The sequence below is a fragment of the Homo sapiens genome, chromosome 5 (assembly GCF_000001405.40).
Source record: "Homo sapiens chromosome 5, GRCh38.p14 Primary Assembly".
NCBI lineage: Eukaryota > Metazoa > Chordata > Mammalia > Primates > Hominidae > Homo > Homo sapiens.
The window spans coordinates 156,992,584-157,018,663 of record NC_000005.10 but is presented as its reverse complement, the minus strand read 5'-3'; the positions used below and the strand labels follow the sequence as shown (position 1 = coordinate 157,018,663).

The 26,080-nt window shown below is 40.9% G+C and overlaps 2 annotated features.

Annotated features, from left to right (window-relative positions):
* Window positions 3,518-4,021: an enhancer, noted in NCBI's record as "NANOG-H3K27ac hESC enhancer chr5:156441654-156442157 (GRCh37/hg19 assembly coordinates)". NCBI's record gives its function as "activates a minimal SCP1, AML or CMV promoter by ChIP-STARR-seq in primed H9 embryonic stem cells {active_cell/tissue: H9 hESC(primed)}" and the evidence as "EXISTENCE:reporter gene assay evidence [ECO:0000049][PMID:30033119]".
* Window positions 4,022-4,526: an enhancer, noted in NCBI's record as "NANOG-H3K27ac hESC enhancer chr5:156441149-156441653 (GRCh37/hg19 assembly coordinates)". NCBI's record gives its function as "activates a minimal SCP1, AML or CMV promoter by ChIP-STARR-seq in primed H9 embryonic stem cells {active_cell/tissue: H9 hESC(primed)}" and the evidence as "EXISTENCE:reporter gene assay evidence [ECO:0000049][PMID:30033119]".

The window sequence follows — 26,080 nt, the reverse complement described above, 5'->3', positions numbered from 1 at the left end:
GAATTGGTTTGTCAATTTTCACAAAAACAGCTTTCTAGGATTTTGATTGGAATCTATTCATCAAGTTGGGCAGAACTGACAGCAATATTGACTCTTCCTATCCGTGAACATGGTATACCTTTTTATTTAGTTAGTTCTTCAATTTCTTTGATCAGTTTTTCAAAGTTTTCTTCATACAGCTCTTGCATATATTTTGTTAGCTTTGTACCTATTTTATTATTTTGGTGCTAATGTATTGTTTTTAATTTTAAAATCCAGTTTTTAATTTCTGGCATATAGGAAAGCAATAGATTTTGGATATTAACCTAGTATCCTGAACCTTGATGTAATTGCTTATTGATTTCAGGAATTTTTTTTTGTCAATTCTTTGAGATTTTCTATAGACAATCATGTCACATGTGAACAAAGAGCTGTATTGCTTCCTTTGTGATCTGTATGTCTTTTTCTTGCTTTTCTTGTCTTATTGCATTAGCGAGGACTTTCAGTATGATGTTAGAAAGAAGTAGTGAGAGGGAATATCCTTGCCTTCTTCCTAATCTCCGTGAAAAAGCATCTAGTTTTTCACCATTATGTATGGTATTAGTTGCAGGTTTTTTGCAGATTTAAAAAATCAAAATACAAAAATTAGCTGGGTGTGGTGATGCATACCTGTAATCCCAGCTACTAGGAAGGCTAAGGCAGAAGAATTGCTTAAACCCAGAAGGCAGAGGTTGCCGTGAGCCGAGATTGTGCCACTGCCCTCCAGCCTGGGCAACAGAGTGAGACTCTGTCTCAAAAAAAAAAAAAAAAAAAAAGAGAAAATAAGTTAAAAAGGCCAGGGGTCTTTGGTTCATTGGTACATTCCAAATGAATAGGATCGCCCAGGCTGGAGTGCAGTGGTGTGATCTTGGCTCAATGCAACCCCTGCTCCCTGGGCTCAAGCAACTCTCCTGCATTAGCTTTTTGAGTGGCTGGTATTACAGGCACATGCCACCATGCCCAGCTTTTTATTTTGAGTTTTAGTAGAGGGGAGTTTTTGCCATGTTGGCTAGGCTGGTCTTGAACTCCTGCCCTCAAGCTATCCACCCACCTCAGCCTCCCAAAGTGCCACTGCACCTAGCCAGATTCACACTTTTTTGCTTTGTTTAGTTTTCCATAGATTCAAACTTTTTTTTTTTTTTTTTTGAGACAGGGTCTTGCTCTGTTGCCCAGGCTGGAGTGCAGTGGCATGATCATGGCTCACTCCAGCATCCACCTCCCAGGCTCAAGTGATCTCACTTCAGCCTCTCCGGTAGCTGGGACTACAGGTGTGTGCCACCACACCAGGCTAATTATTGTATTTTTTTGTAGAGACAGGATTTCACCATGATGCCCAGGCTGATCTTGAATTCCTGGGCTCAAGTGGTCTGCTCCCCTTGGCCTCCCAAAGCTCTGGAATTGCAGGCATGAGCCACCACACCCAGCTTCAAACTTTTTTTTTTCTTTGAGATGGAGTTTCACTCTTGTTACCCACACTGGCGTACAATGGTATGATCTTGGCTCACTGCAACCTCCACCTCCCAGGTTCAAGCAATTCTCATATCTCAGCCTCTGGAGTGGCTGGGACTATAGGCGCCTGCCACCACACCTGGCTAATTTTTTTGTGTTTTTAGCAGAGACAGGGTTTCAACATGTTGGCCAGGCTAGTCTCTAACTCCTGACCTCAGGTGATCCACCTGCCTTGGCGTCCCAAAGTGCTAGGATTGCAGGCGTGAGCCACCACTTCCAGCTGCGAACATTTTAAGAAAAAAAAAAGTTACATTAACTTTTCTTTTTTCTTCTTTTTTTTTTTCTTTTTTTGAGATGGAGTCTTGCTCTGTCACCCAGGCTGGAGTACAATGGCGCAATCTCAACTCACTGCAACCTCTGCCTTCCAGGTTCAAGTGATTCTCTTGCCTCAGCCTCCCAAGACCAGCTGGGATTATAGGCACCCGCCATCACACCCTGCTAATTTTTGTATTTTTAGTAGAGGTGGGATTTCACCATGTTGGCCAGCTTGGTCTGGAACTCCTGACCTCAGGTGATCTGCCTGACTTGGCCTCCCAAAGTGCTGCGATTATAGGCATGAGCCACCATGCCTGGCCTACGTTAATTTTTCTAACCTCCCCCACTCATTGATCTTTCATTCAAAATTTAACAACTCTTTATTATTCACTTGCCATGCAAGGAATTTAAAGAATTTATGTAGAAGAAAACATAAGCATAAATTTTCAATACCTTGGATAGGAGATGATTCTTTTTTTTTTAAGAAATTATTTATTTTATTTTATTTTATTTTTTATTATACTTTAAGTTCTAGGGTACATGTGCATAATGTGCAGATTTGTTACATATGTATACATGTGCCATGTTGCACCCATTAGCTGGTCATTTACATTTGGTATATCTCCCAGTGCTATCCCTCCCGCCACCCCACAAAAGGTCCTGGTGTGTGATGTTCCCCTTTCTGTGTCCAAGTGTTCTCATTGTTCAATTCCCACCTATGAGTGAGAACATGTGGTGTTTGGTTTTTTGTCTTTGTGATAGTTTGCTGAGAATGATGGTTTCCAGCTTCATCCATATCCCTACAAAGGACACGAACTCATCATTTTTTATGGCTGCATAGTATTCCATGGTGTATATGTGCCACATTTTCTTCATCCAGTCTATCATTGATGGACATTTGGGTTGGTTCCAAGTCTTTGCTATTGTGGGTAGTGCCGCAATAAACATACGTGTGCATGTGTCTTTATAGCACCATGATTTATATTCCTTTGGGTATATACAGGAGATGATTCTTAGTTATGACACCAAAATCATGAGCAACCAAAGAAAAAAAACAGATGTTTGACTTTATCAAAATATAAACCTTTTAAAATTTTTTTAATTTTTTAAATTATTTTCTTTTTAGAGACAGGGTCTTTCTATGTTGTACAGGCTGGACTTGAACTCCTGGGCTCAAGAGATCCTCCTGCCTTGACCTCCCAAAGTGCTAGGATTACAGGGATGAACCACCATGCTGAGACTGTTTTTAAATTGTTTTTTAATCAGCTAAATTTAAGATTCATCAAGATGTAAACCTTTTTGTGCATCAAAGGACACCATCACGAAAGTGAAAAGTCAACCCAAAGAATGGAACAAAATATTTACAAATCACATATCGGATAGGAGTTTATTTTATTTTAATATATTTTATTTTTTATACTTTAAATTCTAGGGTACATGTGCATGACGTGCACGTTTGTTACATAGGTATACAGGTGCCATGTTTGTTTGCTGTACCCATCAACTCGTCATCTACATTAGGTATTTCTCCTAATGCTATCCCTCCCCCAAGCCCCCACCCCCTGACAGGCCCCAGTGTATGATGTTCCCCGCTCTGTCTCCATGTGTTCTCATTGTTCAACTCCCACCTATGAGTGAGAACATCCAGTGTTTGGTTTTCTGTTCTTGTGATAGTTTGCTGAGAATGATGGTTTCCAGCTTCATCCATGTCCCTGCAAAGGACATGAACTCATCCATTTTTATGGCTGCATAGTATTCCATGGTGTATATATGCCACATTTTCTTTTTCTTTTTTTTTTTAATTGATCATTCTTGGGTGTTTCTCGCAGAGGGGGATTTGGCAGGGTCATAGGACAATAGTGGAGGGAAGGTCAGCAGATAAATAAGTGAACAAAGGTCTCTGGTTTTCCTAGGCAGAGGACCCTGTGGCCTTCCGCAGTGTTTGTGTCCCTGGGTACTTGAGATTAGGGAGTGGTGATGACTCTTAACGAGCATGCTGCCTTCAAGCATCTGTTTAACAAAGCACAACTTGCACCCCCCTTAATCCATTTAACCCTGAGTGGACACAGCACATGTTTCAGAGAGCACAGGGTTGGGGGTAAGGTCATAGATCAACAGGATCCCAAGGCAGAAGAATTTTTCTTAGTACAGAACAAAATGAAAAGTCTCCCATGTCTACTTCTTTCTACACAGACACAGCAACCATCCGATTTCTCAATCTTTTCCCCACCTTTCCCCCCTTTCTATTCCACAAAACCACCATTGTCATCATGGCCCGTTCTCAATGAGCTGTTGGGTACACCTCCCAGATGGGGTGGTGGCCGGGCAGAGGGGCTCCTCACTTCCCAGAAGGGGCGGTGGGGCAGAGGTGCCCCCCACCTCCCGGACGGGGTGGCTGGCCGGGCGGAGGCGCCCCCACCTCCCTCCCGGACAGGGCGGCTGGCCGGGCGGGGGCTGACCCCCCACCTCCCTCCCGGACGGGGTGGCTGGCCGGGCGGGGGCTGACCCCCACCTCCCTCCCGGATGGGGTGGCTGCTGGGCGGAGATGCTCCTCACTTCCCAGACGGGGTGGCTGCCAGGCAGAGGGGCTCCTCATTTCTCAGACGGGGCGGCTGCCGGGCGGAGGGGCTCCTCACTTCTCAGACGGGGCGGCTGCTGGGTGGAGGGGCTCCTCACTTCTCAGACGGGGCGGCCGGGCAGAGGCGCTCCTCACATCCCAGACGGGGAGGTGGGGCAGAGGCGCTCCCCACATCTCAGATGATGGGCGGCCGGGCAGAGGTGCTCCTCACTTCCTAGGTGGGATGGCGGCCGGGAAGAGGCGCTCCTCACTTCCCAGACTGGGCAGCCAGGCAGAGGGGCTCCTCACATCCCAGACGATGGGCGGCCAGGCAGAGATGCTCCTCACTTCCCAGACAGGGTGGCGGCCGGGCAGAGGCTGCAATCTCGGCACTTTGGGAGGCCAAGGCAGGCGGCTGGGAGGTGGAGGTTGTAGCGAGCCGAGATCACGCCACTGCACTCCAGCCTGGGCACCATTGAGCACTGAGTGAACAAGACTCCGTCTGCAATCCCAGCACCTTGGGAGGCCGAGGCTGGTGGATCACTCGCGGTTAGGAGCTGGAGACCAGCCCGGCCAACACAGCGAAACCTCGTCTCCACCAAAAAAATACGAAAACCAGTCAGGCGTGGCGGCGCGCGCCTGCAATCGCAGGCACTCGGCAGGCTGAGGCAGGAGAATCAGGCAGGGAGGTTGCAGTGAGCCGAGATGGCAGCAGTACAGTCCAGCTTCGGCTTGGCATCAGAGGGAGACCGTGGAAAGAGAGGGAGAGGGAGACCGTGGGGAGAGGGAGAGGGAGAGGGAGACCGTGGGGAGAGGGAGAGGGAGAGGGAGACCGTGGGGAGAGGGAGAGGGAGAGCATGCCACATTTTCTTAATCCAGTCTATCATTGTTGGACATTTGGGTTGGTTCCAAGTCTTTGCTATTGTGAATAGTGCTGCAATAACCATATGTGTGCATGTGTCTTTATAGCAGCATGATTTATAATCCTTTGGGTATATAACCAGTAATGGGATTGCTATGTCAAATGACATTTCAGGTTCTAGATCCTTGAGGAATCGCCACACTGTCTTCCACAATGGTTGAACTAATTTACACTCCCGCCAACAGTGTAAAAGTGTTCCTATTTCTCCATATCCTCTATCCTCTCCAGCATCTGTTGTTTCCTGACTGTTTAATGATCACCATTCTAACTGGCATGAGATGGTATCTCATTATGGTTTTGATTTGCATTTCTCTGATGGCCAGTGATGATGAGCATTTTTTCATATGTCTGTTGGCTGCTTAAATGTCTTTTTTTGAGAAGTGTCTGTTCGTATGCTTCGCCCACTTTTTGATGGGGTTGTTTGTTTTTTTCTTGTAAATTTGTTTAAGTTCTTTGTAGATTCTGGATATTAGCCCTTTGTCAGATGGGTAGATTGCAAAGATTTTCTCCCATTCTGTAGGTTGCCTGTTCGCTCTGATGATAGTTTCTTTTGCTGTGCAGGAGCTCTTTAGTTTAATTAGATCCCATTTGTCTATTTTGGCTTTTGTTGCCATTGCTTTTGGTGTTTTAGTCATGAAGTCCTTGCCCATGCCTATGTCTTGAATGGTACTGCCTAGGTTTTCTTCTAGGGTTTGTTATATTTACGTCTTTGTTGTGGTTGTTGTTGTTGTTGTTGTTGTTTTTGATGGAGTCTTGCTCTGTTGCCTGGGCTGGAGTGCAGTGGTGTGATCTCGGCTCACTGCAACCTCCACCTCCCAGGTTCAAGCAATTCTCCTGCCTCAGCCTCCTGAGTAGCTGGGACAACAGGTGTGAGCCACTATGCCCAGCTAATTTTTGTATTTTTAGTAGAGATGGCGTTTCACCATGTTGGTTGGCCAGAATGGTCTCAGTCTCTTGACCTCATGATCTGCCTGCCTTGGCCTCCCAAAGTGCTGGGATTACAGGCATGATCCACCGCACCTGGACCCATTTAAGTCTTTTTTTTTTTTTTTTTTTTTTTGAGACAGAGTTTCGCTCTGTCACCCAGGCTGGAGTGCAGTGGTGCAATCTCAGCTCACTGCAAGTTCTGCCTCCCGGGTTCACCCATCCTCCTGCCTCAGCCTCCTGAGTAGCTGGGACTACAGGTGCCTGCCACCATGCCTGGGTAATTTTTTGTATTTTTAGTAGAGATGGAGTTTCACCATGTTGGCCAGGATGGTCTCAATCTCCTGACCTCATGATCCACATGCCTTGGCCTCCCCAAGTGCTGGGTTTACAGGCATGAGCCACCGCACCCAGCCCATTTAAGTCTGTAATCCATCTTGAATTAATTTTTTTTGTATGATGTAAGGAAGAGGTCCAGTTTCAGCTTTCTACATATGACTAGCCAGTTTTCCCAGCACCATTTTTTAAATAGGAAATCCTTTCCCCATTGCTTGTTTTTGTCGGGTCTGTCAAAGATCAGATGGTTGTAGATGTGTAGTGGTATTTCTGAGATTTCTATTCTGTTCCATTGGTCTATATGTCTGTTTTGGTACCAGTACCATGCTGTTTTTGTTACTATAGCCTTGTAGTATAGTTTGAAGTCAGGTAGCATGATGCCTCCAGCTTTGTTCTTTTTGCTTAGTATTGTCTTGGCTATGCAGGCACATTTTTGATTCCATAGGAACTTTAAAGTAGTTTTTTCCAATTCTGTGAAGAAAGTCAATGGTAACTTGATGGTTATAGCATTGAATCTATAAATTACCTTGGGCAGTATGGCCATTTTCACAATATTGATTCTTCCTATCCATGAGCATGGAATATTCTTCCATTTGTTTGTGTCCTCTTTTATTTCGTTTAGCAGTGGTTTGTAGTTCTCCTTGAAGAGGTCCTTCATATCCCTTGTAAGTTGGATTCCTAGGTATTTTATTCCCTTTGTAGCAATTGTGAATGGGAGTTCACTCATGATTTGGCTCTCTGTTTGTCTATTATTGGTGTATAGAAATGTTTGTGATTTTTGCACATTGATTTTGTATCTTGAGACTTTGCTGAAGTTGCTTATCAACTTACGGAGATTTTGGGCTGAGATGATGGGGTTTTCTAAATATACAATCATGTCATCTGCAAACAGAGACAATTTGACTTCCCCTTTTCCTAATTGAATATGCTTTATTTCTTTCTCCTGCCTGATTGCCCTGGCCAGAACTTCCAACACTATGTTGAATAGGAGTGGTGAGAGAGGGCATCTGATAGGAGTTTATTATCCCAAATATATAAAGAACTCTTGCCAGGCAGAGTGGCTCATGCTTGTAGTCCTAGCAGTTTGGGAAGCTGAGGTGGGAGGATTACTTGAGCCCAGGGGTTTGAGGCCAGCCTGGGCAACATAGGGAGATCTTGTATCCACAAGAAAACAATTTTTAAAATTAATTAATTAATTAATAATATAAATAACTCATAACTCAACAACAAAAGATAAATAATTAATTTAAAAATGGACAAAAACTTGAATAGGCACATCTCCAAAAAGATAAACAAATGACCAGGCCAGCCACGGTGGCTCACGCCTGTAATCCCAGCACTCCAGGATGCTGAGGCGAGCGGATCACTTGAGGCCAGGAGTTTGAGACCAGCCTGGGCAACATGGTGAAACCTCATCTCTACTAAAAATATAAAAATTAGCCAGATGTGGTGGTGGGTGCCTGTAATCCCAGCTACTCGGGAGGCTGAGGCAGGAGAATCGCTTGATCCCTGGGAGGCAGAGGTTATAGTGAGCTGAGCTCTTGCCACCGCTCTCCAGCCTGGGTGATAGAGTGAGACTCTGCCTCAAAACCAAAACAAAACCGAACCAAAAAACTAATGACCAATAATTACATGAAAAACTCCTTAACATTATTAGTTATTAGGTAACTAGAAACTAAAGCCACAATGAAATATTACTTTACACTTGCTAAGGTAGCTGTAATTAAGGAAAATCAAAACCAACCAAACAAAAACCAGAAGATAACATTCTTGTACACTTTAATTGTGAATGTACAATGATGCAGCTACTTTGGGAAGCAGTCTAGTCTGGTCATTCCTCAAAAAGTTCAATGTAGAGTCACCATGTGATACAGAACTTCCACTTTTAGGTATATACCGAAGAGGATTAAAAACATCTGTTCACACAAAAATTTGAACATAAATGTTTATAGCAGCATTACTTATAGGAGGAAAAAAACAGAAATAAATGTCCAAAACTGATAAATGGATAAATAAAACTTGGCATATCCATCTAATGAATATTACTCAGCCATAAAATGAAATGAAATACTGATTTATGCCACAACATAGGTGAACCTCAAAAACATTGTACTAAGTGAACAAAGCCAGACACAGAAGACAATGTAGTATATGTTATGTTCTATAAAATATCCAGAATAGGAAAATACAGAAACAGAATGAAGATTACTGGCTTATGGGGGCTGAAAAGAGGAAAGAATAGAGAGTGACTGTTAATGAAATATGGAGGGATATGCGGTTTCATTTTGGGATGATAAAATCGTTCTTATATTAGATAGTGGTGATGATTGTACAACTTTATGGATATATAAGAACTAGTGTAAATTGGTGCATTTTATGGTTTTTGCATTTCAACAAAATTAAGAGTAGGAAAAGAACTTGCATTGATTGATAGATGGATATGTGTGATTTAGGCACTATAAGAGAAAGGATTTAAAAAATTTTCCTCCCCTTCCAATGAAGCCCTCCAACAAAAGTTCAGTATAAGTGCAGTGGCTATTTGTCATTCCTTGTTATATTTGATCTCGTAGTAACATTTGACCCCAGTGACCAAACCATCTTTCTTTCAACTCTGTCTTCCCTTTTGCTCTCATGAAGTGACACCACTTATCCTGGTTTTCTTTCTACCCCTCTAATATAGTTTGGATTTTTTAAAATTTTTATTTAAATTTTCTTGTAGAGACAGGGTCTTCCTATTTTGCCCAGGCTGGTCTCAAACTCCTGGGCTCAAGCAATCCTGCCTTGGCCTCCCAAAGTGCTGGGATTACAGGCTTGAGCCACCATGCCTGGCCTTTGTTTGGATTTTTGTCCCCTCCAAATCTCATGTTAAAATGTGATCCCTAATGTTGGAGGTGGGGCCTGGTAGGAAATATTTGGGTCATGGGGCAAATCCCTCATGAATGGCTTTGGTGCCCTCCCGACAGTAATGAGTGTGTTCTCACTCTTAGTTCATGTCAGAGCAGGTTTTTAAAAAGAGGCTGGCATCTCTCTTAATCCTTTTTCCTTTTTTTGTCATGTGACATGCCTGTTTCTCTGTGCCTTCTGCCATGAATAAAAGCTTCCTGCAGCCTCATCAGAAGACAAGCAGATGCTCGTGCTATGCTCGTACAGCCTGCAGAACCATGAGCCAAAATAAACCGTTTTCTTTATAAACTATCCAGTCTCAGGTGTTCTTTTATAATGATACAAAATAGACTAACACAGAAAATTGGTACCAAGGAGTGAGGTGTTGCTATAAAGACACTTGAAAATGTAGAAGCAGCTTTGAAACTGGGTACTGGGCTGAGATTGGAAGAATTTGGAGGGTTCATAAGAAGACAGGCAGACCAGGGAATGTTTGGAACTTCTTAGATACTTGTTAAGTGGTTGTGACCAAAATGCTCATAGAATTATGGACAGTGAAGGCCATGCTGATGTAGTCTTAAATGGAAATGAGGAACTTATGAGAAACTGGGCAAGGGTCACCCTTGTTACACCTTAGCAAAGAGTTTGGCTGCATTGTGTCTGTGCCCTAGGGATTAGTGGAAGGTTAAAATGACGAGTGATGACAGGGCATCTGGTGGAAGAAATTTCCTAGCAGCAAAGCATTCAAGAGGTGGTATGGCTGCTCCTAACAGCCTATGATCAGATGTGGGAGCAAATGAATTACTTAAAGTGGGAATTTATAGTTGAAAGCAGAGTGTAAGAGTTTGGAAAATGTTTAGCTTGGCTATGTGGTATAGAAGGAAAGAGCTTTTTTTTTTTTTTTTTTGAGAATGGAGTTTTGCTCTCGTTGCCCAGACTAGAGTACAGTGGCACAATTTTGGCTCACTGCAACCTCTGCCTTCCAGTTTCAAGCAATTCTCCTGCCTCAGCCTCCCAAGTTGCTGGGATTACAGGTGCCTGCCACCACACCCAGCTATTTTTTTTTATATTTTTAGTAGAGATGGGGTTTCACCATGTTGGTCAGGCTGGTCTCAAACTGCTGACCTCGTGATCCACCTGCCTTGGCCTCCCAAAGTGCTGGGATTACAGGTGTGAGCCACCACGCCTGGCCCTGGAAAGAGCTTTTTTAGGGGAGGAATTCAAACAGGCTACAAAGTGATTGCTTGCTAGAGAGACTAGAATGACTAAAAGAGAGTTCAAAGGGCTGCAAGTTCAGCTCTGGCTGCCACTTCAGAGCATGCAGCCTGGAAGCCACAAGCCATAAGCCTTGATAGCTCCCATGTGGTGTTAGGCCTGTAGGTGTACAGAATGCAAGAGTGAAGAAGGCTTGGCAGCTTCTACCTGGGTTTCAGAGGTTGAATGGGAAAGCCTGGGTGCCCAGGCAGAAGCCTGCTGCGGGGTGGAGCCCTTCCCTGCAAGAGCCTCTACTGTCACAATACCAAGGTGAAATGTGGGGTTGGAGCCCTCATACAGAGTCCCCAGTTGGGCACTGCCTAGTGGAGTTGTTGGAATAAGACTGCCACTGTCCAGATTCCAGCATGGTGGCACCACCAGCAGCCGGCAACCCTAGTGTGGAAAAGCCACAGACATCAGACTCCAATTCATGAGAGCAGCCACTTGAGCTATAACTAGCAAAGCCATAGGGGTGAAGCTGCCCAAAACTTGGAAGCCTACCTCTCCCACCAGTGTGCCCAGGATGTGAAACATGGATCCAAGGGAGATTACTTTGGATATTTAAGCTTTAATATCTGTCCTGCTGGGTTTTAGACTTGCATGGGGTCTGCTGCCCCTTTCTTTTGGCCAATTTCTCTCTTTTGGAATGGGAATATTTACCCAATGTGTGTTCTACCATTGTACCTTGGAAGTAAATAACTTGTTTTTGATTTACAGGCTTATAGGTGGAAGGAACTTGCCTTGAGTCTTAGATGAGGCTTTGAACTTTGGTCTTGGGGCTTTTGAGTTAACGCTGCATTGAGTTAAGAGTTTGGGGGACTATTGGGAAGGCATTATTACATTTTGCAATGTGAGAAGGACATGACATTTGGGGGGCCAGGGCAGAATGATATCATTTTGATTTTTGTCCCTTCCAAATCTCATGTTGAAATGTGATCCCCATGTTGGAAGTGGGTCCTTGTGGGAGGTATTTGGATCATGAGGGCAGACCACTCATGAATGGCTTAGTGCCCTCCCTGTGGTAATGAGGAAATTCTTGCTCTAATAGTAAATGCAAGAGCTGGTTATTTAAAAGAGCCTGGCAGCTCTTTTGCTCCTTCTGTCTCCATGTGACATGCCTACTCTCCTTGTGCCTTCTGCCATGAGTGAAAGCTTCCTCAGGCCTCACCAAAAGCTAAACAGATGCTGGTGCTATGTACAGCCTGCAGAATGGTGAACCAAAATAAACATTTTTCTTCATAAATTACCCAGTCTCAAGTATGCCTTTATAGCAACGTAAAACAAACTAACACATCCTCTACTTTTGTTCTTAGCAGCAGTGGCTGGCTCCTCTTTTTCTATCCTTTCGTGTTTATGTCCCTCAGGACTCAACCTAGTGCATACTTCTTTCTAGGCATCTTTTCCCTACTCACTGGAGATTCCTAAATCTCTATTGCAGTCAGATGTCTCTCCTGAGCTTCAGAACCAGTTGTTAACTGCTAGCTTCACATTTCCACCTGGGTATTTCACAGTCAGCTGCAGCCTTCTGTGTCCAGACGTGAACTTAGCCTTTTAAAGCCCCTCCTTCTTCCACAAACAGCTTTGAGTCCAAAAACCAGATGTAGCCTGGATTTTTCCATCTTGCTTCATTCTTTCCCAAAGCTCTTCTTCCATCCACTGCAAGCAATAAGTACAGTCTATTGATTATATCCCATGACTGCCTTTAATGCATAACTACCCTTCCATTCCCCACAGCTGCACTTTCAGTTCTAATTTGGTTAACTTGGACTAGATTACTGCATTAGCCTCACCTGTCTACTCTCTCTCTCCCTTCACTTTCCTTCAGCTAATTCTCCATGCAACGCCTGCAGAGATGACCTTAAAGTATGTATGTGTCATATTTCTCTCCTGCTGAGGATTCTGTCTTTTACCTCATGACCTAGAGAATTGATGCATCTTAATGTGGCCCCTAGGACTACACCTTTTCTTGGGTCACTGTCCACTCTTGGTTCTTCCTGTTTCTTTTACTTTATCCTCCAGACAAGCCAAAAGGTTCATTATCCTATACATACACCATGCTGTTTCTCATTTTGCTCTATTGCAATGCCAGTTCCATGGCTTAGCATAACTTCGTTTATCTCATAAACTCCCATTCACCTCTCAGTACCCTGGTCAGGCTTCATCTTTTCCTGATAGACCTCTCTATATCATCCTCTTTGCCATTCTATACATTGCATGTGTTTTTTATTTTTATTTTTATAGAAACTGGGTCTTGCCATGTTGCCCAGGCTGGTCTTGAACTCCCAGGCTCAGGTGATCCTCCTGCCTTGGCCTCCCACAGTGCTGGGATTACAGGTGTGAGCCACCGTGCCCAGCCGCATTGCATGTGTTTTTATTCTTGCATTTATTACACTGCAATTTCCTTAAAGGTCTTTCTCTTCTTTTGGCCTATGACCTCCTTGGGGGCAGTTATGATGTCTTATTCATCCCTGTATTTCTTGGGCCTGCTCTGATGTCTGGATGGCACATAGCTGGCACTCAGTAAATACTGTTGAATATATTAATATTTGTCAGTCTCCTTTTAGTCTTTAGCAGCAAGCTTCTGTGGTAGATTAAAGACAGCCCTGCATTCTTTTGTACTTGTGGTGGGCAGACTTTCAGAGAGTCCTTAATGATTCACACTCCTGATATTCACATCCTTGTGAAATCCCCTACTCATGAGTGTGGACCAGCCTAGTGAATTGCATCTAACCAACAGAATGAAGCAAATGAGATTGCAGCTTTTGTTTTGCTACCAGTTTCTCTAATGGCTCTCTTCCTTTTTGGCTTTAATGAAGTAAGGTATCATCATATGGAGAGACCCCCATGGCAAGGAACTCAGGGAAGCTTTTGTGTGACAGCTAGCAAGAAGATGAGGCCCTCAGTCCAATAGCTCACTAGGAACTAAAATCTGCCAACAGCCATGCAAATGAGCAGTGTATCCTTTCCCAGTTGAGTCTCCAGATAAGACCCAGCCCTGGCAGATACCTTGGTTGCTTCCTTGTAAGAGACCCTAAAGCAGAGGACCCAATCAAGCCCTGCCCAGATTCTTGACCCCTGGAAACTATGAGTTAATAAATATATGTGATTTAAAGTCAGTATAGTTGTGTGGGTTTTGTTTGTTTGTTTGTTTTTACCAGTGGTAGATAACTAATACAGTGTCCAGTCATTGACAGGTGAACTCTAATTCCTCTCACCTTGAATCTGGGTTAGCCTCAGTGATCTTCGACCTATAGAATGTGGCAGAGGTGATGTTACGGGAACTTTTGAAGTTAGATCATAAGAAGCCTTGCAACTTTCAGGCCAGGTACAGTGGCTCACACCTGTAAACCCAGCACTTTGGGAGGCTGAGGTGGGCAGATCACCTGAGGTCAGGAGTTCAAGACCAGCTTGGCCAATATGGTGAAACCCTGTCTCTGCTAAAAATACAAAAATTAGCCAGGTGTGGTGACACACACCTGTAATCCCAGCTACTTGGGAGGCTAAGGCAGGAGAATTGCTTGAACCTGGGAGGTGGAGGTTACAGTGAGCCAAGATTGCACCACTGCACTCCAGCCTGGGCAACAAGAGTGAAACTCTGTCTAAAAAAAAAACAAGGCTTGCAGCTTTCACTTGGACCTCTTGGAACACTTGTTCTTAAGATGCTCTCTGTTTGATGCTCTTATTCAGAACCAAACTGTCATAATGAAAGCAGCCCAAGCCAGATGAAGAGGCTGGGTAGATACCGTAGTTGACAGCCCAGCTGAGTTTTCTACCAAAAGCCAGCATCAACTGCAAGCCATGGGAGGGAGTCATCTTGGATGTCTAGCCCAGTCAAGCCTTCAGATGATTACAGTCCAAGCCATCATCTGATAGCAACTGCTTAAGTGACCCCAAATGAGAATGCTCCAGAAACATAAGAGATAATAATATAATGTGGTTTTAAGCCACTAAGTTTTAATGTGTTTTGCATGTAGCAATAGGTAACTGAAATGACCCCTTAGAGTGAAAAGAGCCCTTATGCCATTTAAAAAATTCATTTTATAAAAATTTTTTGTGGAGACAGGATCTTACATGTTGCCTAGGCTTGTCTCAAACTCCTGACCTCCCAAAGTGTTGGGATTACAGATGTGAGCTACCATGCCCAGCCTCACTGATGCCATTTTTAATAATAGCCAACAAGAGGAAGGCTTGATGCACTATAGGGCCATTATTCTTCCATTTCTGATAAAGCAATATCCTTAAAATGTGAATTATATTACACAATCCATCTATACATAGTCCTTAGAATGAACCCCCAGTTCTTCCTTTGGCCTGTGTCATATGGCTTTTTTCTGGTAGTTATTCAAATATGGTCCACACCATCTTTCTCTCACTCACTGCTTTCTGGTCATACCGGCTTTCTTTATATGTCTAGGAAATTCCAAGTTATTCCTCAACTTAGTGTCTTTGCACATTCTGTTTCCTCTATCTGCAAGGCTATGCCTTTGGCTCATTTCATGCCATCTCTCTCTCTCTACCTATAAAGGAAGAGATTTATTATACGGTATTGGCTTATGCAATTATGGAGGCTGAGAAGTCCCTTGGTTTGCTGTTCTACAAGCTGAAGACATAGAAAAACTGGTAGGGTAGTTCAAAGGCCTGAAAGACAGAGGGCTGATGGTGTAGATGATAGTCTGGGTCTAAAGGCCTGCAAACCAGATTCACTGAGAACAGAGAAGATTGATGTTCCAGTTCAAGTGGTCAGGCAGAGTTAATTTCCTCCATCTTTTTGTTCTATTCAGGTCCTCACAGACTGGAGGGTGTCCACTCATATTGGGGAGGGCCAGCTGCTTTACTCAGTCCACCAATTCAAATGCTAATCTTGTCTGGAAATATTCTCACAGATAGACCTAGAAATAATGTTTAGCTATGTAGGCATCCTGTGACCAAGTCAAGTTGATACATAAAATTCACCGTCATAGTCATTTTCTCAGAAAGACTGTTTCTGATCAATATTTCTGCCAACCTTTTTTTTTTTAATCTGCAGCTTTGTTTCTTTTATTCATAGCATCTGTTACAACATTAGTTGATTACTTGTTTTCTCTTTCTCCACCTCTAGATGCTAAGCTCCATGAAGACAGCAGGTCATGATAGTTCTAAAGGGTGGAACATCTCAGGTATGTGAGAGGGGAAGGAAAATAGCTCAAGGAAATAAATAGCCTTAGAGGCCCAGGAAGGTATCCAGTAGTGCCTCACTGCAAAAATGTGAGCTTAAGCCGGAGAAGTCTCAGGCTTCTTAGGAACCCACAGGTCAGCCATTTCTGACTTTACACCATTGCCCATGTAATAATGTCAGCCTTAACTTGTAACTGGGTAGAGGGAAAAGTGGGACTCAAAGTGAATTTTTTTCTATTCATGGAAGAAAGACTGTACAAAACCAGAGAAGTTTTAGCTTTCAAAAATATATTTTATAAAACTTACAAAGGAAATACATGTTTATTGTACAAAATTTAAAAAGTACACAAAGTATTAAATAAGAGGTGAAATAATTATATCAATATATAAGTATAGTTCTGAGGAGATTATACAACAACTTTGCTAGTAAAATATTCCTATCATCCAGATTCCATAGGTGAAGAAATTGAGGCATTCAGAAATGTACTTGTGTTTAAATAACTTGAAAGTGGTGGAAATAGGCTGTGGATATATTCATTTTGATTCTAGAGCTGTGCTGTTCACTAAGCCAGCCAGTAGCCATATATGGCTATTTTAAAATTAAAATTAATTAAAATGGAATTAAATTAAAAATTCAGTCCTCAGTTGCATTAGCCACTTTTAAAGTGTGCAATAAACACAGATGGCTAGGAGCTACCCTGTTGAACAACATAGTGTTGAACCTTTCCATCATCACACATTTTTTTTTTTTTTGTAAACAAGTATTCTTAATTTTTATTTTGCTTGATCATTCTTTCACACCATCTTCTACAATGGTTTAACTAATTTACATTCCCACCAATAGTGTAAGAGCATTCCTATTTCTCTACAACCTCACCAGCATCTGTTGTTTTTTGACTTTTTAATAATGGCCATTCTGACTGGCATGAGATGATATCTCATTGTGGTTTTGATTTGCATTTCTCTAATGATCAGTAATGTTGAGCTTTCTTTTCATGTGTTTGTTGCCTGCATGAATGTCTTCTTTTGAGATATGTCTGTTCATGTCCTTTGCCCACTTTTTAATGGGTTTGTCTTTTTCTTGTAAATTTGTTTGAGTTCCTTGTAGATTCTGGATATTAGACATTTGTCGGATGGATAAATTGCAAAGGTTTTCGGACAGGTGCAGTAGCTCAAGCCTGTAATCCTAGCACTTTGGGAGGCTGAGGTGGGCAGATCACCTGAGGTCAGGAGTTTGAGACCAGCCTGGCCAACATGGTGAAACCCTGTCTCCACAAAAATACTGGGCATGATGGCAGATGCCTGTAATCCCAGCTACTCAGGAGGCTGAGGTGGGAGAATCGCTTGAACCTGAGAGGCAGAGGTTGCAGTGAGCTGAGATTGTGCCATTGCTATCCAGCCTGGGTGACAGAGTGAGACTCTGTCTCAAAAAAAAAAAAAAAAAAAAAAAGGGCAAAGATTTTCTCCCACTCTGTAGGTTGCCTGTTCACTTTGATGATAGTTTCTTTAGCTGTGCAGAAGCTCTTTAGTTTAATTAGATCCCATTCATCAATTTTGGCTTTTGTTGCAATTGCTTTTGGCAATTTTATCATGAAATCTTTGCCCATGCCTATGTCCTGAATGGTATTGCCTAGATTTTCTTCTAGGATTTTTATAGTTTTGGGTTTTACATTTAAGTCTTTAATCCATCTTGAGTTAATTTTTGTATAAGGTGTGAGGAAGGGGTCCAGTTTCAATTTTCTGCAAATGGATAGCCAGTTGTCCCAGCACCACTTATTAGATAGGGAGTTCTTTCTCCAATGCTTGTTTTTGTCAGGTTTGTCAAAGATCTGATGGTTGTAGATGTGTGATCTTATTTCTGAGTTCTCTATTCTGTTCCATTTGTCTGTGTGTCTGTTTCTGTACCAGTACCGTGCAGTTTTGGTTATTGTAGCTTTACAGTATAGTTTGAAATTCAGTTGAGTGATGACTCCGGCTTTGTTCTTTTTGGTTGGGATTGTCTTGGCTATACAGACTCCTTTCTGGATCCATATGAATTTTAAAATAGTTTTTTCTAATTCTGCACCACAAAATGTTTTATTGTATAGTGCTGCTATAGAGACTACTTCTAATCACATCTAGAAAATGTGTTTTCTTCAATCTCATTTCTTATTCCATAGTGAAGTGATTACTGCAATTCATGGTTGCCTGTGTATCCCTTCCACAATTTTTCCTAAGCAAATACAAATATAAATACCCATATACATTTTGTTTTGTGTTGTGCTTTTAAAAATAAGATCAACCTTACTTCTGCAAAAATGGCCATAATTAAAAAATAAATAATAACAGATGTTGGCTTGGAGGTGGTGAAAAGAGAACACTTCTACACTGCTGGTGGGAATATAAACTAGTACAACCACTATGGAAAACAGTGTGGAGATTCCACAGAGAACTAAAAGTAGAACTACCATTTGATCCAACAACCCCACCACTGGGTATCTACCCAGAGGAAAATAAGTCATTATATGAAAAAGACACTTGCACAGCATGTTTATAGTACACTGTTCACAATTGCAAATATATGGAACCAGTCTTAAATGCTCATCAACCAACAAGTTAAAGAAAATGTGTTTTATATATATACCATGGAATACTACTCAGCTATAAAAAAGAACAAAATAATGGCATTCACAGCAACCATTATTCTAAGTCAAGTAACTCAGGAATGGAAAACCAAACATCATGGGTTCTCACTTATAAGTGGGAACTAAGCTATGAAGATGCAAAGGCATAAGAATGATATAATGAACTCTGGGGACTTGGGGGGAGAAGTGGGAGGAGGGTGAGGAATAAAAGACTACACATTGGGTACAGTGTACACTGTTCAGGTGATGAGTGCACCAAAATCTCAGGAATCAGCACAAAAGAACCTTTCCATGTAACCAAACACCACCTGTTCTCCCAAAACGATTGAAATAAAATTTTAAAAGAAGACCAAATTATGCATATTGTTCTGTAACTTGTTTTGTTACTTAACGATTGATTTTGGATCTACCTGTGCATTAGGTTTTTAAGAAACTACCAAACAATTTTCCAGAATGGTGGCACCATTTATATTCCCATTAGCAAGTATGGGTGATTTGGTGTTTCTGGACACTTGTCAGCATTTGATATTGTTACTGTTTTTAAATTTAGCCAATCTGATGGATGTGTCATGTTACCTAATTGCAGTTTTAACTTGCAAATTTTTGTATTTTATTTTAATTTAATTTAATTTAATTTTATTTTATTTTATTTTATTTTATTTTTGTAGATACAGTTTCTCACTATGTTGTCCAGGCTGGAGTACAGTGATGCAATCTCGCCTCACTGCAACCTCCACCTCCAGGGCTCAAGCCATCCTCCTGTCTCACCTTCCCAAGTAGCTGGGACTATAGGTGCATGTCACCACACCCAGCTAATTTTTTTGTATTTTTTTGTAGAGATGGGGTTTTGCCACGTTGCCCAGCTGGTCTCAAACTCCTGGGCTCAAGCAATCTGCCCACCTCTGCCTCCCAAGGTGTTGGAGTTAGAGGTGTGAGCCACCGCTCCCAGCCTTAACTTGCATTTTTCTAATGGCTAACAATGGTAAGTATCTTTCCACACTCTCATTTGCCACCTGTACATCCTCTTCAGTGAAATTTCCATTTATATCTTTTCTAACTAGATTTTTTTTAACTGTTGAGTTTTGAGCTCTTTATTTATTCTATATGTGTTCTTTATGTATTCTATAGATTCAGTTCTTTGCTGGATATGTGGTTTGCAAATATTTTCTCCCAGTCTGTAGCTTATCTTTCTTCCTTTTTTTTTTTTTTTTTTTTTCCCCAGACGGAGACTCACTATGTCACCCAGGCTGCAGTGCAGTGGCAGGATCTCAGCTCACTGCAACCTCCGCCTCCTGGGTTCAAGTGATTCTCATGCCTCCCTCCTGCGTAGCTGGGATTACAGGCATGCACCACCATATCTGGCTAATTTTTTATATTTTTAGTAGAGACAGGGTTTCACCATGTTGGCCAGGCTGGCCTTGAACTCCTGACCTCAGGTGATCTGCCCACCTTGGCTTCCCAAAGTACTGGGATTACAGGCATTAGCCGCCGTACCCGGCCTTTCTTCCTTTTAACAGAGTCTCTTGCAGAGAAAAAGTTTTAACTTTGATGTACCTCAATTTTTCCTTTTACAGATCATGCTTTTGGTGTCTAGTCTGAACACTCCTTGCTGAGCTCTAGATCCAGAAGATTTTTCTAGTATGTTTTTTCCTAAATGTTTTATAGTTTTATATTATATATAAACTTAAGTCCATGATACATTTGAGGTTTAATTTTTATATGAGGTCTGAGGTTAGGTTGAGGTTTATTTTTTGCTTATGAATATATATTCAATTGCTCCATCATCATTGGTTAAAAAGGCTATCTTCACTGAATTATGCTTGCAACTTTGTACAAATTTATAGCAAATACTCTGACTTGGTCACTGCATGTAACAAAATATCACATGCCCCTCATAAATACATACAAATATTTTGTATCAATAAATACAATTTATTGGGGGCATTTGTGGGTCTATTTCTGGGTTCTCTTTTCAGTTCTATTGATTGACGACTCTGTCACTAAGCCAATACTACACAATCTTGACAACCATAGCTATGTAAATATTGAAATTGGGTAGAATGATTCCTCCTAAATTGTTCTGCTTTTTTACTTTTACGATTATTTCAGCTATTCTAGTTCCTTTGTTTTTTCATACATATTTTAGAATAATTTTGTCTATATTATTAAAATCTTGCTGAGATTTTGATAGGAATTGCTTTAAACATATATATCAATTTGTGGATAATTGATATATTTACTATATTAAATCTTACAATCCATGAACACAGTATGTCTCAATTTATTTAGATCTTCTTCTTATTATTCTTCCTTGTTTTAGGAACAGAGTCCTGCTATGTTGCCCAGGCTGGTCCTGAACTTCTGGCCTCAAGCAATTCTCCCACTTTGGCCTCTCAAAGTGCTGGGATTGCATGCGTGAGCCACCACGCTCAGCCTAGATCTTCTTTAAAGTTACTTTCCTTAGTATTTTGTAGTTTTCAGCATACAAGTCCCATACATTTTTGTTAGACTTACACTTAAGTATTTCTTTTTTCTTTTTGAACAATTTAAAATGGTATTGTATTTTTAATTTCAGTGTCTATATATTCATTGCATTTTTATAGAAATACAATAAATTTTTGTGTATTTATCTTACATCTTCCATATTTACTGAACTCTCTTATTCTAGGAGGGGTCTTTTTTTTTTTTGAAGATTTCTTAAGGTTTTCTATGTAGACAATCACGTTATATAGAAACAGGAACAGTTTTATTTTTTCTGTTCTGATTTGTATGTCTTTCATTTCCTTTTCTTGTCTTATTGACCTGAATAGAACTTGCAGCCCTCATCCTCATGAATAAGGATGGTGAGAGGAGAAAGACATCCTCGTCTCCTTACCAATTTTAAGGGGAAAATACTCAGTTTTCACCTTTAATATGATGCTAGCTGTAGGTTCTCATGTATATGCTCTTTATATTCTTGGGGAAGTTCTCTATTTTTATGTTTATGAGAATCTTACTCATAAAAGAGTTCTAAATATTATCAAATATTTTCTGCCTTAATTGATATGATTCCATGATTTTTCTTCCTCAGTCTGTTACTATAGTAGATTACACTGACTGATTTTTGAATGTTGAATCATATTTACATGCCAGGTATAAACAGCACTGGGTCATGTTGTATAATTTCTTTTATACAATGCCAAATTCTATGTTCTAATATTTTGTTAAGGATTTTAGTATTTATATTCATGAGGGATATTGGTGATACTCTCTTCCATACCATCTTTGTTTGGTTTGGGTATCAAGGTGATACCAGCTTCAAACCAAAACCAGACAAGGACACAACAAAAAAAACCCTACATGCCAACATCTTTGATGAACATAGATGCAAAAATCCTCGATAAAATACTAGGAAACGAAAGCCAACAACACATCAAATAGATAATATGCCATGATCAATTGAGATTTATCCCAGGGATGTAAAGATGGTTCAACATATGCAAATGAATAAATGTGCTACATCACATCAACAGAATGAAGGACAAAAACCATATGATCATTTCAATATACAAAGAAAAAACATTTGATAAAATCCAAATCCTTACATGATAAAAACTCTCAAACTAGGAACTTAGAAGAAACATTCCTCAATATAATAAAGGCCATATAAGGCAAACCCATCATACTAACTAACATCATACTGAATGGGGAAAAGCTGAAAGCCCTTTCTCTAAAAACGGGAATTAGACAAGGCTGCCTTTTTTTTTTTTTTTAGACAGTCTTGCTCTGTTGCCCCGGTGAGGATGCCCAGTTTCACCACTCTTGTTGAACACAGTACTAGAAGTCCTAGCCAGAGCAATCAAGCAAGAGAAAGAAATAAAAGGCATCCAGATTAGAAAAGGTCATTTATTTATTTTTTGCAGATGATGTGATCTTATATAGAGAGAAATCTAAAACCTCAACCAAGAAACTCCTAGAACTGATAAACGAATCGGTAAAGTTGCAGGATACAAAATCAACATATAAAAATTAATGGCATTCCCTTTTTCTTTGTCTTTTTTGAGACAGGGTCTCACTTTGTCACCCAGGCTGGTGTGCAGTGGTGATCTTGGCTCACTGTAGCCTCCACCTGGACTCAAATGATCCTTCTGCCTCAGCCTCCTGAGTACCTGGGACTATTGGTGCACACCACCATGCCCAGCTAATTTTTTGTAGAGATGGGGTTTTGTAATGTTGCCCAGTCTGGCCTTGAATGTCCAGCCTCAAGTGATTCATCTGCCTTGGCTTCTCAAAGTGCTAGGATTACAGGCATGAACCACTGTACCTGGCCTCTTCTTCTTTTTTTTTTTTTTTTGAGACAAAATTTCTCTCTATTATCCAGACTGGAGTGCAGTGGTGGGAGATAATGGGTTACTGTAGCCTTGACCTCCCAGGCTCAAGTAATCTTTCTACCTCAGCCTTCCAAGTAGCTGGGAGCACAGGCTGATGCCACCACACCCAGCTAATTTATTTATTTATTGGTAGAGGCAGGCTTTTGCCATGTTGCCCAGGCTGATCTTGAACTCCTGGAAGCCAAGGTGGGCAGATCACATGAGGTCAGGAGTTCGAGACCAGCCTGGCTAACATGGTGAAACCCCATCTCTACTAAAACTACAAAATTTAGCCAGGCATGGTGGTGCATGCCTGTAATCCCAGCTACTCTGGAGGCTGAGGCAGGAGAATCACTTGAACCTGGGAGGTGGAGGTTGCAGTGAGCCGAGGTCACACCACTGCACTCCAGCCTGGGTGGTAGAGTGAGAGTCCGTCTCAAAAAATAGAAAAAAAAAAAAAATGTCCTTTCACTATTCATACACCCACTCACCCACTGCCTAACGATTTTCTTCTGTACATTTATATTCCCATGTGCATATTTACATACACATAATTGTAATAATATATGGGATTATTCTATGCATAATATTTCCCAACTTTTTTTTCATGTGCCAATATATCTCAGTTATTTTCATGTTAGTAAATATAGGAATACCTCTTTCCTATTTGCATTTTCTACTATTAAGTGTTAAAATTTATTTTTTGATTTTATATAATAAAAATTTTCAGGCATTTTAATGGAGCTAAGCAATGATCACCAATAGTTCTTAACATCACAAAAGAGAAACAAGCAGACATAATGTGCCTCCTGACAGAAAGTCACATTCCCAACTCTGCCAAAAAAATCAGATTTTATCAAGTTCGTAGATTATGATCAATTTATAGGAAATACAAAGGAAAGATGAACATGTTAAACAACACTGTGAGAACAGAATCAGCAACATCTAGATTTTAGAAACCACTAGGGCACAACTAACCTGTTTTTTCAACAAAAATTTAAAGAAAAAAAAGAAAAAGAGGTGGTAGAGCATCTGTAGATTAAAAGACCCTTAAAAAGCATATTGTAGTATATCAATTTTACTTTGATTCTGATTCAGACAAATCATAAAACTGAAAAATATTTTAGGACAATTAGGGAAATTTAAACACTTATGCTTACTCGATGATACTGAGAAATTATTATTGAATGATTTTAGGCATAATAATGGCATTTTGATTATGTTAAAAAAGAGTCCTCAGGCACACGTTCTCAGGACCTCCTGAGGCTGTATCATGGAAGGGAAAAAAAAAGAGTTCTTGTTCTATGGACATACATTCTAAAATACTTACAGATGGCATGATATGAGGTGTAGGATTTGTTTTATACAATCTGGGATAGAGAAATGGGAGGTGATACAGAGGAAGCAATATTGACCGTGAACTAATGATTGTTGACCCTGCGTAATGGATAAAAGGGAGCTCATTTAATATTGTTTCTACTTTTACATGTTTGGAATTTGTTAAAATAAAAGAGTTCAGATATTTTTCTTTTAAGCACAGATGAAATGGAAAGCACCGAAGTAAGCCTGCATTTATTCATCACCTTGATTTAGGCTTAGTGGTGGTTATTAAATTTGATTCCCTTATTTTTTTTCCTGCAGTATTTTAAACAAATTCAGCTGGTTGTGGTGGCTCACACCTGTAATCCCAGCACTTTGGGAGGCCAGGGCGGGTGGATCACTTGAGGTCAGGAGTTTGAGACCAGCCCGGCCAACAACGGCGAAACCCTGTCTCTGCTAAAAGTATAAAAATTAGCCAGGCGTGGTGGCGTGCGCCTGTACTCCTAGCTACTTTGGAGCTTGAGGCAGGAGAATCACTTGAACCCAGGAGGTGGAGGTTGCAGTGAGCCAGGATCGAGCCACTGTACTCCAGCCTAGGTGACAGAGCAAGACTCCATCTCTCAAAATAATAAAAAAAATAAAATAAATAAATAAAATAAAAATAAAACAAATTGTAGACATTTTTAGAGACCAGGATACCACTCAACATGGTGTATTATTTAAGTATTTATCTAGAATAGTGACTTCCCCCTTTTTATCATGCCATTGACTTGTTGAAGATACTAGATGAATTTTTCTATAAAATGTCCCACATCGTGGACTTTTCATATGGTTTCATTTCCTATAACCTTCAAGTTGGAGCTAGACGGTTTATTAGATTCAGCCTTACAATTTTCTATTTATTATTATTATTTTTAATTTCCTTCAAATAGTTTTTTTTCTGCTTGCTAGGAAATATTAGATTAAGTTTTAATATTTTTGAAAAAATTACCTCAGGTGGTGTTATTAAATATTGTTTCTAATAGTAAAAATTTGGGGAGGGGGAAAATCTAACTATCCCATAAAGGGGACTTATATAAAGTCAATTATAACATACCCATGCAGAATGCAAACAATCATTATGATATTAAAAATACTTAGTAAAGGCCGGGCACAGTGACTCATGCACATAATCCTAGCACTTTGGGTGGCTGAGATGGGAGGATTGCTTGAGGTTAGGAGTTTCAGACCAGCCTGGTCAACATGGTGAGACCCCATCTGTAGAAAAGAAAGAAAAAATACTTAGTAAGGCTGGGTGTGGTGGCCCACGCCTGTAAGCCAGCACTTTGGGAGGCTGAGACAGGCAGATCGCTTGAGCCTAGGTGTTCAAGACCCAGCCTGGGCAATATAGTGAGACTCTGTCTCTACAAAAAAGTACAAAAGTTAGCCGGGTGTGGTGGTGGGTGCCTGTAGTCCCAGCTACTTAGGAGGTTCAGAGGTGGGAGGATCACTTAAGCCTGAGAGGTTGAGGCTGCAGTGAGCTGAGATTGTGCCACTGCACTCCAACCTGGGTGACAGAGTGAGACTCTGGTCTCAATTAAAAGAAAAAAAAACGTAGTAAAGTTTAAATTAAAATTTAAGAATATGAAACATGTTCATATGGTGAATTTGAAACATGTTCAGGTGCAGTACCTGAAAAAAAAGCTGATTAGAAAGCATATGTATACTATTTGTGATTATGACTGGCAGGATCTACATCACAAACTACTGATTAGTGGTGGGACCATATGCAATTTACCTTTTTTTTCTTTGTAGGAAATAAACAGATGAATAATAACCATGCTTTATTTTGTAATAATACTAATATAAAACCAATGGAATTTATCTATAAAAACATCCCCCAGAAATTAAATGGTATAAAGGCAGTGTAAACCTTTGTGGTCTGTAGGTTTTTCAACTCTTCCAGACTACCGTCTTTAATAAAGGAATTTGTGAC